General features: G+C 39.3%; 1 protein-coding gene across 2 annotated transcripts in view; it reads right to left on the reverse strand.

The window, feature by feature from the left end:
• The window catches only part of RELN (reelin), a 517,870-nt gene that overhangs the window by 88,516 nt on the left and 412,802 nt on the right, over nucleotides 1-16,552 (reverse strand). For both annotated transcript variants that reach the window (NM_173054.3, NM_005045.4), the window contains exons 29-36: nucleotides 15,244-15,401; nucleotides 13,788-13,995; nucleotides 11,880-11,956; nucleotides 6,297-6,455; nucleotides 5,920-6,108; nucleotides 4,974-5,247; nucleotides 1,509-1,649; nucleotides 1,228-1,405 (exon numbers count right to left, since the gene is read on the reverse strand). In NM_173054.3, coding sequence (NP_774959.1) covers nucleotides 1,228-1,405; nucleotides 1,509-1,649; nucleotides 4,974-5,247; nucleotides 5,920-6,108; nucleotides 6,297-6,455; nucleotides 11,880-11,956; nucleotides 13,788-13,995; nucleotides 15,244-15,401 — 1,384 coding nt within the window. The remainder of the gene's footprint in view (nucleotides 1-1,227; nucleotides 1,406-1,508; nucleotides 1,650-4,973; nucleotides 5,248-5,919; nucleotides 6,109-6,296; nucleotides 6,456-11,879; nucleotides 11,957-13,787; nucleotides 13,996-15,243; nucleotides 15,402-16,552) is intronic.

A 16,552-nucleotide genomic window follows, 5' to 3' on the forward strand; every position in this document is an offset into this window, starting at 1 on the left:
CTTTCTAGGTCAAACTGCCACCTACTGAATGGCACATGCTGAGTCCTCTCTACATCTTGCAGAGCTGATAGATAATATGTCTAAGACATATAATGCTTGGCTGCTCTTGCATTTGGATGGCTAAAGGGAAAATATAAAACATTATGCATCTTTCTTGTTTAGAGGATCAAAAGACTAGGTTAATTCTACTGCTTAAAAATTTATCAGATAAAGATCTTTCAATCATAAAAAGTTATAGGACTTCTGCTTTTTAGTCTTGTCAACTGGTTCAAATGGGTCAGATGTGAGCTAATGGTAATGAGAACTAACATCTTAGATAAGACAAAACAAAACAAATCCCGCTGCCCCCAAAACCAGGAGTTTCCACTCTGAAATGTTCTACCTTAATTTCTTCAGTCCCTCAAAACTCTCAGAGACTTGTAAATCTCTCTCAGGCCCTATGCATTTCTTTCTTTCTCATCCAAAACTTGAGAAGGATTTGGATTCAAACAAGGATGATAACTGGCATCTATTGACTATAATTGAAAAAGTTCCAGGGTATCTAATTTTCTAGGTGTTAGATGTTAATCATTAGGGCTGTACAGAAACCCATGCAGGTTTTTGTCAAAGATTTCATTTGCACACCTAGGTTAGTCAATTTCCCCATGCTGAGAGAGATGGGATGTGGCATGTATTCACATATGAAGATATGCCAGCTTAGCACAGAGTTTCACACAATTGCTTAACATTCTCTCTAACCAGACATCTCGGTTGAAATACAAAAAGATATTAACAATGTTTGAGAATGCTATTTTACTTGACTTAAGTATTTGATTTTCTTAAAGTCACCAAATGGTTCTATTGGCAGAAAAAAAAAGAAAAGGAAAATTAAAGACCGTTCATAAAGTCATTTAGAAAATATTCCAAGTTAAATATTTAGTAACATAAAATCTTAGACTATGGAAATTTACATTCTAAAAACTATCTACATATAAATTTATGTATATAATTCCAGCAGGAAGTAAGGAAGGTCTGATCACCAAAGCAGAGGAGAAATTTTATGCCCAAGTAATCATGAAAAAATGATTGCACTCAGAAGAGGAAACATGGTTTGGGCTAAAAGTCAATAACTATGTATTAAATATTATGTCATTTGAAGAGATTCAGAAATCCATTTGTGTTGAGCAGTGACTGAAGAAGACAATGTTAGTAGTAATGTTGGGAAGGAGAATCTTATCTGTATCTGACCCCTTTAAAAATTAGAGATGTTCCAGATTTGATGGTTTCACCATTCAGATTCCCCCTCTCTGCACCATACACTTCAGGCCAAAGGTCAGGATGTAAATTCCCATTGAAATCGTCTTTAAGAATCGAGGGCAGAGGAACAACAGGAACACAATAGGGTCCACCAAAGCCCCGGTCACACCTAAGAAAGAGAGGGAGTGGAGAAAAGACATTTGTCACACGTTCAACAAGCCATATTTATTTTTGCGTTACAAAGAAAGAAACTGTCAGTTTTATTAACTTACACACAGCGTCCAGCATCACAAATCCCTCGTCCTGAGCACATCCAAGGGCACCCTGAGGCCAGTACAACATTATCAATCGCCCAGGAATCAGCCCCCACAGTGTAGTTGGCCTGAATCCATCTGAACCGGGTCCTGGGAGAACTAACCAAAAAAAAAAAAAAAAAAACACACCACTGGTTTGACAAGCAACCTTGAAAGCACAAGGACATTTATTTTAATTCCCTTTTCTCTTTAAAGTGCCTTCCTCCAGGGTCCAGTTCTCTCTTTCTTGACGTACTTTATTTTCCTACTAAGTAGTAAGAAATGCTGTTTTCTCTTGACTCATAAACAGGAGAGTAGAAAGCATGTTATTTAAATATTTCACTATTTTTTTCATGTAAGATTCTACAAACACATGTGTGAAATGGAAAAGTTATTTTGAACTATCCACTTGTTTTGTTTTTGAAATACATGCAGAATTTCAGTTTTTGCTTTCAGACTCTTATTGCTATTCAGTACTGGGAGGGATTGAAGGTGATAAACATGAGGAAAAATTAGGGTCTTAAAAGTTCTGGCAGTGAGGTCTCTATTTTACTGTCCCGGAATGGTTTCTGAGAGTAAATGGAAGCCCTTGATACTTCTGCACTCTACTTTGGTTCTTGAGGTTCTGGCTTTCTAAAGCTGAGGCCTAGAATGATGTGATGTATTCTCATATTTTCTATTTATTTGCAATCTGTTATTTGGAGTATCTTGGGTCACAAGACTGCTTTATCCAGAAATAGATGCAGACTTACCAAACAACAGTAACAGCCCCTCACTTAGGAAAAGTTTGCATAGAAGTGTGTTTGTCTGTTATGTGGAATGTGGAACACAGTCTACTTGAAGTAGAATTTCAGCAGCACCATTCTAAGTAGAACTGTTTCCCCTACACAAGTTCTCCATGGATGTGACACAGCTGTCAGCATGGTGGCTTTAACATGGAAACCTAATCACAGCAACACTGTTTACCACCCTTCAGTGGTTCCCCAACATATGCACTGTCAAGACCAAACTACTTAGGATGACATACATGGCTCCTCCATTGTCTGTCCTCTTTCCTGGCTCCAGACCTCCTACTTCTTACCTTGCAATTATATTCTGGCAACACTGAGCCCTTGAATTTCCCCATCCACCCATGCTTTTTCTGGCTTCCTGGATTTTGTTCTGGCTTATGCCAGCACAAATGCCCTTTTGCTCCCCTCTTCTCCTGGATAAGCCCTACTCAGAGTCAGCTGAGACATCAACTCCTTCAGAAAGCTCCCTCCAGTTCTCCCCAAATGAGTTAGGTAGTACCCTCCTGTGTTTCAATAATATCTCTGAGTACTTCCTCTGGTATCATCTTATAGCATAAACAGCTGCTTAGAGGTTTGTTATCCTAAATACAGTGATGTGCTGCATAATGACGTTTCTGTCGATGATGGACTGCATTTATGACAATGGTCTCATAAGATTATAATGGATCTGAAAAAAAATTCCTATTGCTAATTGACATCTTGATGATTCTGACCTTGTGTATGCCAAGGCTAATAATGTGTATTTTTGTGTCTAAGTTTTTAAGAAAGAAGTTTTCAAAGTTAAAGTTCTCAAAATATTAAAAGCTTACAGAATAACGATAGAAAGAAAACATTTTTGTACAGCTGTACAATGTGCTTGTGTTTTAAGCTGTTATCACAAGAGTCCAAAAGTTTTAAAAAAAGTTTATATAATGGAAAAGTTATAGTAAGGTAAATTTATTATTGAAGAAAGAAAAATATTCTTTTTTTAAATTTAGTGGAGCCTAAGTGCATAGTGTTTATGAAATCTATAGTAGTGTACAGTAATATTCTAGGCCTTCACATTCACTCACCACTCACTCACCCACTCACCCAGAGCAACTTCCAGTCCTGTAAGCTCTGTTTATCGGAAGTGCCCTATACAAGTGTACCATTTAAAAATCTTTTATACCATATTTTTATTGTACCTTTCCTATGTTTAGATATGTTTAGATATACAAATACTTGGAATTATGTTACAATTGCTTACAGTATTTAGTATAGCAATATGCTGTACAGCTTTGTAGCTGAGGAGCAATAGGCTATATCATACAGCATAGGTGTGTAATAGGCTAAACCATGAAGGTTTATGTAAGTTCACTCTATGATGTTCACACAACAATGGAATTGCCTAACGATGCATTTCTCAGATGTATCACCATCGTTAAGTGATGCATGACTTTAACACATTTGGATCCTGGCATCAGCTTATTCATGTAGTACCAGAGTGCTTAAAACACAGTAGATATTCAATAAGTGTTTGTTGAATTTTTAAAAAATGAATAAATGAGCTACAAACAAGTAAGCACTATTTAAAGCTTTAGCAGTCATAGGAAACTATTTTAGGCTAAATACTAAAATGTTTTGGCTTCCTGAATTTTCCCTTGCCTCTTGGTTGTACATGTCTGGATCAGGTTTGAACCAGGAAAACAGAAACCACTATAAACACTTAACACAGAAAGAAATTAGTGCAAGGAATTGGATGTATAGCAAGTGGCAGAGCAGAGAAGCCAGTAGAAGCAGTGAGGAAACCGGAGTTTAGCAAAGTCAGGAAGCCACTTACTGTGAGTCTGAGACTGTAGGGACACAGGGAGGAAGTGTTGTTGCTGGTGCCCAGGGACCAGGGTCACCTGGAGGGCCACCCAGGGGAGCTAGAGCCACAGAAGTTGGCCAAGATGCACTTGAGGCAGAAAGAGGGGGGAGGAACACCCTGATTTATCCCTTATCTCTCCCCTCCATTCTCCTGCAGTGTCTGACAGATGTAGGAGGCTGGGAAATGCAGCCTGCCATTCAGAACAGAGCACAGGAATGGAGAGGCAAGGATCTCGGGGGAGCAGTCACAGGAGGTACAGCCTCTAACCAGTCACCACAGTACCCGTTAGTTCCCAGAAACATCCTCCAATGATCCAAATGCCTACACCACAAAAGTGGAAGCCTGCTGTAAGTCAGTACAACTCTTGAATGTGATCTGAAATGCTGGGGAGGGGAAGACAGATGCAAAACAATATGAGCATTCCAAAGGAACCAACCTTTTGTTCATACTGTGGTACTGAGATGAAAAAAAACTAAGGATACTCTCCAATATGTGGTAATTTCACATACTGTTTTGTGTGAATAAGTATCAGTCTGGTTTATGGGCAGAGACTTATTTTTACAACAGTTTAAAAATGGAATCTGGTGGGCAGCCTTTATGCTGGCAAAGAACAGAAAAGTTCAGCCTCATAAAACTTTTGGTGCTCTCTAGCCACATTTAAAACTTGCAACCCAAAGCACCTTGCACTTTTTTTTCTTCCTGGCACTTCCATGCATAATTATCATGAAAGAATAATAGAATCCCCAGGCCGAATCACAATTATTTTCAAATTAAGTGACAGGCACCCAAAGTTCTGACATGTAGCCAAATGACAATTCTCACATGGTGGAGAGTGGAAGGTAGACAGTGATCCGCTTCCAATTCTGGAATCTTTCCGAGGTGTAAATTGAACTTTCCGTGTAATGCAGACAGCCAATGGTTGGAGGAACACACTCTTCGGTGACAAGATGCCAGTCCTTGCCATTGTTCAGAGAATACTGGAGCTGTACACTGTGGGAGTTGCTGAAGGGCTTGCTACAGCCCATGCTCATTTCAAACTGCAAAAAGGTAGATGCTGACACATGAAAATCCCAGGTCTCAGCATAACGAGGTTTTCCTGAAAAAAAAAAATGTGTAATGGTAGCATATATGTGTGCCATTTTCTTATTTGGTGTTTATGCTTATAATAAACATCTTCAATAGCAAACAAAAATCATGGCCTATCTTTAGTGCCCCCTATGTGCTTTGACTTTTCTTCTTATATTTTCTGCTTCTATTTGGTTACCATAGATTTAGAAATATAGAAGGCTGCTAATTTGAAAAGCATTACCACCTTGGAAAGGGCTAACATATTATCTTTAAAATATTGATATATTACAGTTATACATATATTGGGTTACATGTGATATTTTGATACATTTATACAATATGTAATGATCAAATCAGGGTAATTGGGATATCCAGCACTTCAAACATCTATCTTTTTTTAAACATAGAGTCTTAAGTCTACAAGTTATGAAACATAGGAATGTCCTCTCATAGATTTTTTTGCTCTTCTAAGAAACCTTACTCATATCATTCATGTTCTGTGAAAGACAGTTCCAACAAAAACCGTCACTAGGATCACCAAGTTGTCTTAGCACAATAAAACTTTTTTTTCACTGAGAGCCACCCTCAGCATGGGTAGTTAGGCACACGGTTTTGCATTAGAAAGTTTTCTCCTGACTTTTAGTTAATTTAGTCCTCTAGTTAATCAGATATTTTCCCTTTATCTGGTGACAATATATACCTATGTTTTCAGTGAATATCAGAGCAGTATCCATAGAGAGACAGTCAATATCAACTTGACCTCCTTGGATTCGATACCAGTTGGCTTGCAAATCTATAGAGCCATCAAATTTGTCTTGAAATCCAGTTTGAGAGCTGTCATTCATTCCTATAAGAACATCATCCAAAGCCCACTGGGCTGAATGCTTCCCTGCAATCAGATGAATAAAGGTGGTTAGAGAAGTTTTGTTACATAGCAATATGAATATCTTCATGACTGTGATTTTAAATCAAATTGTCTAGAAATTGACAGCAAATTAAGAAACACACAGTGCAAGGTGGGTATGGATACTTCATGACCTAAAAGCTACCAGAAAGCTGGAGTGAGCAGTAACTTACCATGTTGCGGTTGCCACCATCGAAATGCCGTTGCAGGTGTCTTCGCGTCCTGTGGCAGGTCAATGGAAATGATCTGTGGTTCCAGGAAGGACATGAAGTCCAACTCTCGAAGCAAATGCCAGAGTATCCCATTGTCATTTGAATACTGAACAATAAGCCCTGAGTTAAAAGACATAAATCCAGTTATTTGGACACTTTCCTAGAGGGGAAGGAACAGTATTTCTTAAATGGTGAGACTGCAGCAACCTCAAATTGTGTCTCCTAGAACGAGGGCACATTTGTGTAACTTCCAAGGAATGAATTAGTGGACCTGAAGGCTCATCAATTTTTTGATGGTTTCTAATGCACTGACTCCCAGGAAATGAAATACATAAGCTCTTATAAGACTGCTCAGCTTTGTATGAGTGATGAGTAAGTTGGTAAGGGGAACATAAAAACCTGCCTCAGATCACGTATTTGAATTTTAGATTCTGTTCTGAACATTACAAAGTCTCATATCATTATTATATATTCAGAAGAAATATCTCAATCTCCCTGGCAAAAAATCAAGTAGCTCTTTGCTGCTGACGCACTAGGCAGTAAGCACCGCCTGGTATGAAATTCTATTAAGCAGAAAGATCCTTTTACTTGCACTTCGCACTTTGTCAGATCTTGGTCAGTGAAGCCTAAGTGAAATCAAATTATTAAGTGGCAAAGCAGAAAGGCTCACGCTTCTCCAACATTAGTCTGACTTTCGTTTCTCTGTGTCACCTTTTCCCCTTTTCTTGTCCCATTCATCCACGCCCCTCCACTGTCACTAGGGTGACATGATCCAGGGGACTGCACATTAAAGTGTAAGGGACCTCATGTCCCTTCTAAAAGAGGATGCAGAGAAAGCGCAATGTTGAATGAAAGGAAAAAGTTGCTAAGGATGAAACTGTGGGAATCAATTATATACATATGTGTGTGTGTATAACGAGGTATAAATCAGTGCCTGTATTAAGAATAAGACTGTGCCAGCCTTTATACCCGCTTCTTTGGTAGGGGGGGTAGAGTGGTAGAGGGTATTGATCTAATTGCCTATTCCATAATTTTCCTAAGACTGGCACTGCATATTCATAATTACGACTAGGGATACTGAACTATTTTTTGAGTATTCATAGATATTACGCTCAGTAAAGTTGTTATTTTTACTTTATTATATATATATTTTATATATATATATATTTTAATTGAGACAGGGTCTCACTCTGTCACCCATGCTGGAGTGCAGTGGCACGATTACAGCTCACTGCAACCTTTTCCTCCCCGGGCTCAAGTGATCCTCCAACCTCTGCCCTCCAAGTAGCTGGGACTATAGGTGTGTGCCACCTCGCTCGGCTAATTTTTGTACTTTTTGTAAAGACGGGGTTTTGCCATGTTGCTCAGGCTGGTCTCAAACTCCTGGGCTCAAGCGATCTGCCTGCCTCAGCCTCCCAAAATGCTGAGATTAAAGGCGTGAGCCATTGCACTCAGCAAATTCTAACTCTTTTGGAAAATTATAATTTTTTTTGCTATACACAACCTTTCTGTTTCCCTATTCTTGACTAACTAGAACTTCTCAACCCTTTATCACATTGGATAATTATTTTAGTTTCAAAAATATTACAATAAAGTGTAGTGCTAAAAGAAGGCTGCTTACGGCTAATTAATTGCCATGGAATTATTGTCACTACATCTGACAAAGGATGATGCCAGGAACAAAAATGACAAATATGCTAAAATTAGAAATCTCAAGAGAATCAAACCTACTGTATTTAAAATAAAAGAACTAATCAGACTGAATGAGAGGATGAAAATATGTTCAAATAACAGAACTCTTTGGGGGAGACAGCCTGCTATATACAGGTGTGGGGATGAGGGTTACAGCTTCTGTTGAATAAGGTGAGACCCATGTGTTGGGAAAGGGACAGTCACACCAAAGTTCATGAAGAAAATGGAAGCAAGGCTGTTTCTTGTCTTTATTCTAGTCAAGTTGAGGAATGTGTGGCATAAGCTCTAGTCTCCAAACTCTGATGTTGCTCAAGATATGTCCTATGGGCTTTTTAGTGTGATATTGGATGTCTGAGGGTGCAGACACTTCAAAATTCAGGTTTTCTTGTGGCTACTAATTTGTATTAATATGGTTTACATTTAATAAGATGAGAGAGAGGCTGAGATTGAGATTACTTAGTTATTTTGAGGTGACCTAATCAGAAGGTAGATGATACTAGAAATGAAGCATCATGAGATAAATTGTCACTGGCTGGTCCTTTCTAGTGCCTTTGACTCAAAGTATGGTCTGAGACCAGCACCTGAATCACCTTGGAACAGGTTTTATAACCTGTGATGGTTTAAAAAATGTCCACACATTCTTTGACACTCTTCCGTTCAAAAAGTGGAGCTTAATTCTTCCCCCTTTGAGTGTGGATAGTTTTAGTAACTTGCTTCTAATGAATAGAATATGGTGGAAGTAATGGTGTGTAACTTTGGAAACAGTCATAAAAGGCATTGTCGTTTATTCCTTGCTCCCTCTCAGATCTCTTGCTCTGGGGAAAGCCAGCCTACATTTAGTAAGGACATTCAAGCAGCCTATGGACAGGTCTACAGAGTGAGAAACTGAAACCTCTTGCCAACAGCAGAGAAGAACTAAAGGCTTTTGCCAACAGCCATGTAAGTAAGCCATCTTGGAAGTAGATCACCTAGCCCTGGCTAAGTCTTCCAGTGACTGCACCCCTCCTGGCTTTTGTCCTGACTGCAACCTCACCAGAGACCCTGGGCCAGAACCATTTAGCTAAGCTGCTCCAAAATTCCTGACTCACAGAAACTGTAAGATAACAAATATTTGATGTCTTAAGCTACTTAGTTGTGGAATAATTTGTTATGTAGCATACCACTCCAATCCTACTAAATCTAAATTTGCATTTTAACAAGGCTCCCAAATGATTCAGGTGAACATTAAATTATAAGAAACATGGCTCAGGAGGTACATACTTCATTTGGTTTCTGTCTTCCTCCTCATTAGCTTTTTAAGGAGTGCCACATATACCTCAGGCAGTAACAAGGTCTGCAGAGATGAGGGCCCCAATTCCAAAGGACAAAGAAGGAGAGCCTCTCAGATAAGAATGAGAGGGTCGAGGAATGCAAGAAAGGCAAAGAGCAATATACATATCTCATATCACTTGCTGAACCTCATTAGCCATGTCATCTAACACACTGTACATCTGAATGAACCAGGCCCTTTAACTCATCTACCAAGTGTTTAAGGCATGTGAAACATTTCTCTTTTTAAACAGCAGCTCCATCTGCGTTATGCCCAGTCTTACTGAAAATAGCATAATTTTGATTTTAATTCCAAATATGTAAATTGATGCTTCAGCTTGAGTAAGTAAAGAATCTCTACTTTCATCACTGGAAGAGATTTGTTCAAGGATTTAAGCAGATTTACATTTTAACAACCAGTTTTCAATAAAAGGCTAAGAAATGCCTGTGGGATGTGAATTACACGGCCGGCACTGAGTTTATGAAAGTGTCTCAAGACTAGTTGAGAAAAAGTTGCTTGTTACTAAAAGGATCCTCAGGGAAATCTGCATCACAGGGCAGAAAATAGCACTTGTAAACAGAAGTTCAATACAGAGCAAAGACTCCTGTCTATTGTATGATAAGCAGATGCTTTCTTTTCTACCTTGCTCAGGATTTATTTTTTTAGGTCATACACAAATAAGGGTATGGATTTGTAATTTTCAGAAGGGTTATGCACAAAAATGTCCTTTAAATTTCAATGTATCAAATGTCACTTCCTTGGTGAGTCCCCATCCAGACTATTTTTGAATCTAAATCAGCACCTCCCACTGCATAAATTTACTTTCCACCTCATCAGCCTATTTGTTTCTGTCTAGCCCTTACAATCTAACATTTTCTTGCTTATTTCTTTTCTTGATTGCTTACTATCTGAGTCTTCTCACTAGAATGTAAGTTCCCCTGAGGGCAGGGATCTACCCTTAGGTGGTCATTAGTGCCCCACTGGTTCTTCACTCTCTAGCACATGGTAGGTTTACGCTTCTTTTCCCTTCACCACACTTTCTCTTTCCCTCTGTCACATGGCTGGCAACATCCAGAATCTACGCAGCAGCCACCTTATTATTCTGGGTGCTGGAATGAGGACCTCGGATGACCCATGAAGAAAATGTAGCACAGGGGAGAAATCATTTTATTTAGCCCACTGATATTTAGAGGTTTATTATTATTAGAGGTTTATTATTATTATTGCAGCATAACCTACCTCATGATGAGGGACATATGTCTTTTGGTGATATTGTATCAATAAAAGCACCTAGAACAATGTCTGGCTTAGAACAGATTCTTAATAAATATTTATTGAAGAGATTAGGGAATGCAAAAATGGTCTATAAAAGCTTCTATACTGCTTCAGTAAATAGATGACTTGGATAATTACTAGACTAAAAGTACTAAGATATTCAGAAAAAGTTATTAAACCTTTCAGTTAGTGATAATATGGCCAAGGAAATGGAGAGCTGATGAACACAGCTGTTGGTAGCTCTACTGACTAATAGGTATTGTTTAAGCCAATGTGTTTTACACAGTCATACTGAGATATTAACAAACTTAGAAGGTGCAAACTCTTTACATGTTGCTGAGACCACGGTTTGGAGGAGGATGCATCTGAGAAACCTATGAATTTTGTGTGAGGAGTCAGTTCACATTCAAGGTCCCCTAAGGAATTATATCATATCTGTAGAGCTCCCAGAGGCCACCTATGCTTCAAGCCTTTTGCATTTCTTTCAGAACTGAATCATTTGAGGCAGAAGATGGTATGAGTGCCTAGGGAGGGTGGAGTTCAGTGCAAGGAGAGAAGCAGTATAGTATGATGGTTATGGCATACATTCTGGAGCCAGTGTGAGTGGTTTGAATCCCTGCTCATCCACTTATTTAGTGCATGATCATGGGCAGGTTACTTGACCTTTCGGTGCCTCAGTTTCTACATCTGCAAAATAGAACTAATTATATTACTTATGGCAAAAGGGTATGCTGGAAATAAAATGAATTAACACCAGTAAAACACGTGGGATAGTGTCTTGCATATAATAAGTCTCAGTAAAAGATAACATTTATTATTGCCAAGAACTGCTCCTCCTACACAAGGATTCTGGTCTGCCCGGAATATAAGTTTATGGGCCGAAGTAGACTTTGATCTGCATTCAGTAATGCCCTATGCAAACAAGTCTCTAGCTTCCATGCTATATGTAAGAGTCTCTGCTATTGTTTTGGGATTTTTTTTTGTGCCTCCCTGCGGATAGTATAAAGGAATAGGGTTCCCTAAAACAAATGGCACTTTGATTCTGCCTACACCCAGAGCAGACATGATATATTTCAGGCCTAAGGATCTGTACAAGAAATCTTAGAGATCTTGGCTCTGTGCAGCCACCGATTCTACAAAGCAGAAGAGAAGAGAAGGAATGATTCAGGGTAATGTATCAGTTTTCAAAATCCTGGCCAAACTTTGGGAGGATAAAGGACTAATCTGCCAATAGTAACTGTAATTTCCATGGAAATACAGCAGCTTACCTTCATTTCTAGTTCTTGGTTTGATGCAGGTAATGCCTGAAGTTTTGCTTCCAATTTGTATATAAAATTGAACAAGTCTGGGGAATAAAAACTTTAGTTTACTTACAAACAAGAGTTCAGAAGAGCTGTAAGCATTAGCGTTTTGACACATTAGAAAAAAACCCTCCTGTATTTATTAAGTACTACTTTCAAACTCAAAGGGCATATGAGAAGCAGAAAATACATAAATTATAGTAAGTTAATTCTGTAACCATTTAGAAGAAGTTAATTAATATGACCATTCATTTTATTCTGTAATAATGAGCTAAACAAAAGGAAACCGTTGAATATCACTTCATTGTGACAGTCTGTTATAATTTATTTTTTTTTTTGAGACGGAGTCTTGCTCTGTTGCCCAGGCTGGAATGCAGTGGCGTGATCTCGACTCACTGCAAGCTCCGCCCCCCAGGTTCACGCCATTCTCCTGCCTCAGCATCCCGAGTAGCTGGGACTACAGGTGCCCGCCACCACGCCTGGCTAATTTCCTTTTGTATTTTTAGTAGAGACGGGGCTAACACGGTGAAACCCCGTCTCTACTAAAAATACAGTCTGTTATAATTTAATGGAATTACAAAAATGGAAATTCCTTAAATCTAGTTAACACTATCCTTGGAAACTCAAGATGAAGATTTTTTAAAATTATACTTTAGTTTCTGGGATACATGTGCAGAACGTGCAGGTTTGTTACATAGGTATACACATGCCATGGTGGTTTGCTGCACCCATCAACCTGTCATCTACGTTAGGCATTTGTTGCCCAGGCTGGAGTGCAGTGGCGCGATCTTGACTCACTTCAACCTCTGCCTCTTGGGCCCAAGCGATCCTCCTGCCTCAGCCTCCTGAGTAGCTGGAACTACAGGCATGCGCCACCACACCCGGCTAATTTTTCTATTTTCAGTAGAGACAGGGTTTTGCCATGTTGGCCAGGAGCTGGTCTTGAATTCCTGACCTCAAGTGATCCACCTGCCTCAGTCTCCCAAAGTGCTGGCATTACAGGTGTGAGCTACCGCATCCAGCCAAGATGAGGAAAAATCTAACTTAAGAAGCTGAATACCATATTTGTTTAGAGTCAGATAATTACCTGTCAGTTGCTGATTTAGACTCACTTGGCTAAATTTTTCACAGCAGGCCTTCAGTCAGTACGATGTAAATTATGCCTCAGTCCATAGCGACTGACAGAGAGTACCTGCTTGACAGGCACACCTCTGAGAGAACAATGCAGATGGAAAGGGAAGGAAATTGAAGGAAGGAAAAATATGACACAGGACCCCAGATTTTGTGAGGAGGTCTAAAAATTTTAAACATTTTCTCTATTTCCTTTCTTCCACTTCTCAAATAATTTAATTGCTCTTTTAAAAAGCAGTTTTATTTTAGGTGTGCTATTATTTCATTTGATCTTAAAAACCAAACAGTTCTTTATTTTACCAGTAGGTGTCAGTGTAGGCATTTAAAATTTCTGGGGACCATTTTCAATAAGTGAATACAAATCAACTTAGATAAATGAGGACGCATCAATTTCAGACATAGAATGTAAGGTTGGAAAAATCTTTGTTTCACACGGCACATGCTAAGAATAATACCAAATGGTTTTCATAATAATATCAAACTTCAGAAAATCAAGCTGGCATACCCTAGACACACAGGCCTTGGTGATGACCACACATGGATTTATGAATTGCAGCATGGTCTTTGTAGAAACCACCTATTTTATTCCAAAGCTAAAGTTATCTTCATTTTTACATATCATAATCTATATACAGAAACATTATTGTATATATTCCCAATAACAGAACAGAATGTTTTAAGTTAGACTACATCGTGTGGTAAATAATATGTTTGTGAAAAAGTATACCAGTTAATACTTGTTACCTGATATTCCTGGTGTCCAGAGGGACCGTCCGGGCTTCCCTTTTCCCAGGGCCATTGAAGTAGAGAGATTTGCCATCGTTAAGTGTTCCACAGCCAGTTCCAACCTGGGCACCTGTTATCTTGTACCACAGAGGGCTGAGCTTCCCCTCAAACCTATCGAACATCTCATTGTGATTGGGGACATTTGACACACAGGTTCCTTGTGCAGCTTCAGAAAAAGAAATAGAGAGGAGAGATGCTTTGTTGGAATCATTCAAAACGAGGTCTATTCAACACATGGGCAAAGGAAGAATGTCCATAGGGATTAACATTAGGGAGAGAGGCCACATGAAAATTTGTATCTCACAACTGTCGGTCTGAAAGACAGCCATCACTACCATCATCAAAAACACTATTCTGCCTCTGTAAATTTTTATTTTTTAATAGAGACAGACATTGGGAAGACATTGGGAACCATACCTTTTCGTAGTTCCTGCTACTGAGGATTTGTGTAAACTGAGAAACAGATTTCATCCACAATAAAACTTGCTCATTTGTTATCCTTCTATTCTAGGATCAATAGGGGCAGTCAGTCTCAAATTTAAAAAAAATCCTTGAAACTGTGAGTGACAGCACTCTCCATAGAAGGCCTGCAACAACATATGTTTGTCTTTGGTCACGTGCCAGATGAAGGCTGGGATACTGAAAAGCTGGGAAGAAGCCTTTTGAAGTTGTCTCCAGGAAAAATAATAAAAAAAAAGATTTTGAAGCTTATAATATTTTCTCCAATTTTCCTCTTTAATCTCAGCTCTTTTCATTTTTGCTTGCAGCAACATCCAAAGGTCACTGTGCTCAGAGATACTTTTTTTGTAAAGTACTCTTTTGGCAGACTTGGGTTTATCCTAAGATGCATTTTTATTTTAAATGTAAAAAATAACGTTTCCTATAGTGATGTAGAGGGCTCACAGAGGCCATGCAGCCATGCAGCATGTGGTTAAGAGCTTGGGTTTGGGTTTTGGAGAATGACTGCCAGGGTTTGATACTCAGCTCCAGCAACTCCCAGCTGAATGATCTTGGGATAGTTATTAAATCTCTCTGTGCCTCAGTTTCCTTAAATATAAATAGGGTTTACAGTACTATGACAGAGTTATTGTTAGAATTAAAGGGGATGAAATAAAAAGAACCTCAATGTCTGGCATGAAGTAGGACCTCAAGCAGTATTAATTATTATTGCTATGAATAATAAACAAATCCTCTTTAGGAAATGAAATTTGTATTAGTATGTTTCCTTTTTGGAGCAGCTCAAAACTACAAAATATCCTAGCACCTCATGTGCCTGGGTTGTGAATTCCTACAATTCCTAGACTTAAAGAGGAATAAATTCAGAATTTATTTCTTTGGGAGAATAACATGAAACACAGCAACTAGAGATGACTATTTTACAATAAAACCCTCAGACACATGTATTTAGCCTTACCAGTATATCCCAGGTCACAGAAACACACTCCTGAAATGCAGTCCCCATGGCCACTGCAGTAACTGGGACAAGGCTCGGATATGTACACTCCATCTAAACCAAATGGAGGCACGTTTTTCTGTGAGCTGCTCTCCTGGATCCATCGGAATCTGGTCTTGCTGTTGGGAAAAACAACACACCTGTTTCTTGTACCAACATCTCATATCAAAGCATTGGAATATAGAAAAATTCAGAAAAACTCAACAGAGACTTAATATTTATTTGAAAGTCATGTCTGCTTGACTGCACTTAACCTTCATAAGCTGTCTCTCAGACCTTTCTCTCTCTCTCTCTTTTTTTTCTTTTTTTGAGACAGCATCTTGCTCTGTCAACCAGGCTGGAGTGCAGTAGGGTGATCTCAGCTCCCTGTAACCTCCGCCTTCCAGGTTCAAGAGATTCTCTTTGGGAGGCCGAGGTGGGCGGATCACAAGGTCAGGAGATTGAGACCATCCTGGCTAACACGGTGAAACCCTGTCTCTACTAAAAATAGAAAAAGTAGCCGGGCGTGGTGGCACGTGCTTGTAGTCCCAGCTACTTGGGAGGCTGAGGCAGGAGAATTGCTTCAACCAGGGAGGCAGAGGATGCAGTGAGCTGGGATCGCACCTTTGCACTCCATCCAGCCTGGGTGACAGGGCGAGACTCCGTCTCAAAAAAAAAATTCTCGTGCTTCAGCCTCCCGAGTAGCTGAGATTACAGGCACATGCCACAATGCCCAGCTAATCTTTGTATTTTTAGTAGAGATGAGGTTTCACTACGTTGGCCAGGCTGGTCTCAAACTCCTGGCTTTATGTGATCTGCCCGCCTCAGCCTCCCAAAGTACTGGGATTACAGATGTGAGCCACCATGCGCAGATTGATTTCTTTTTCAGCATAAATGTTTGAATATTTTCTCACCTTCTGCTCTTTTAATAATAAAATCCAGATAGATATTCCATTATTTTACTCAATTAATATTTCACCCTTCTATCACACTCAGTTTATGGATATCTGCAGAAGAGGCTGTTTGGGAATGTTTGAAACAATCTGTCTTTCTTAGGACAGATAAGGGAACTCTGGCTATTTGCTATTGACATGCTTCAGGCAGGGAAGAGTTAAGTTTGTACCGACAGCTCTATTCACCTGCGCCTTCCCTCCTTTCCTCTTCATCTCTCATCTTTAAATCACAAACACCAGTTTTAACTGCCAAAGAACAAAAGAAGGACCTAGTCCCAGTACTTCAAAACCCTGGAACACTAGTGGGCTGGGCTACTGCCCAGTTTTGAGGTTGCCAA

Source organism: Homo sapiens, chromosome 7, assembly GCF_000001405.40.
Source record: "Homo sapiens chromosome 7, GRCh38.p14 Primary Assembly".
NCBI lineage: Eukaryota > Metazoa > Chordata > Mammalia > Primates > Hominidae > Homo > Homo sapiens.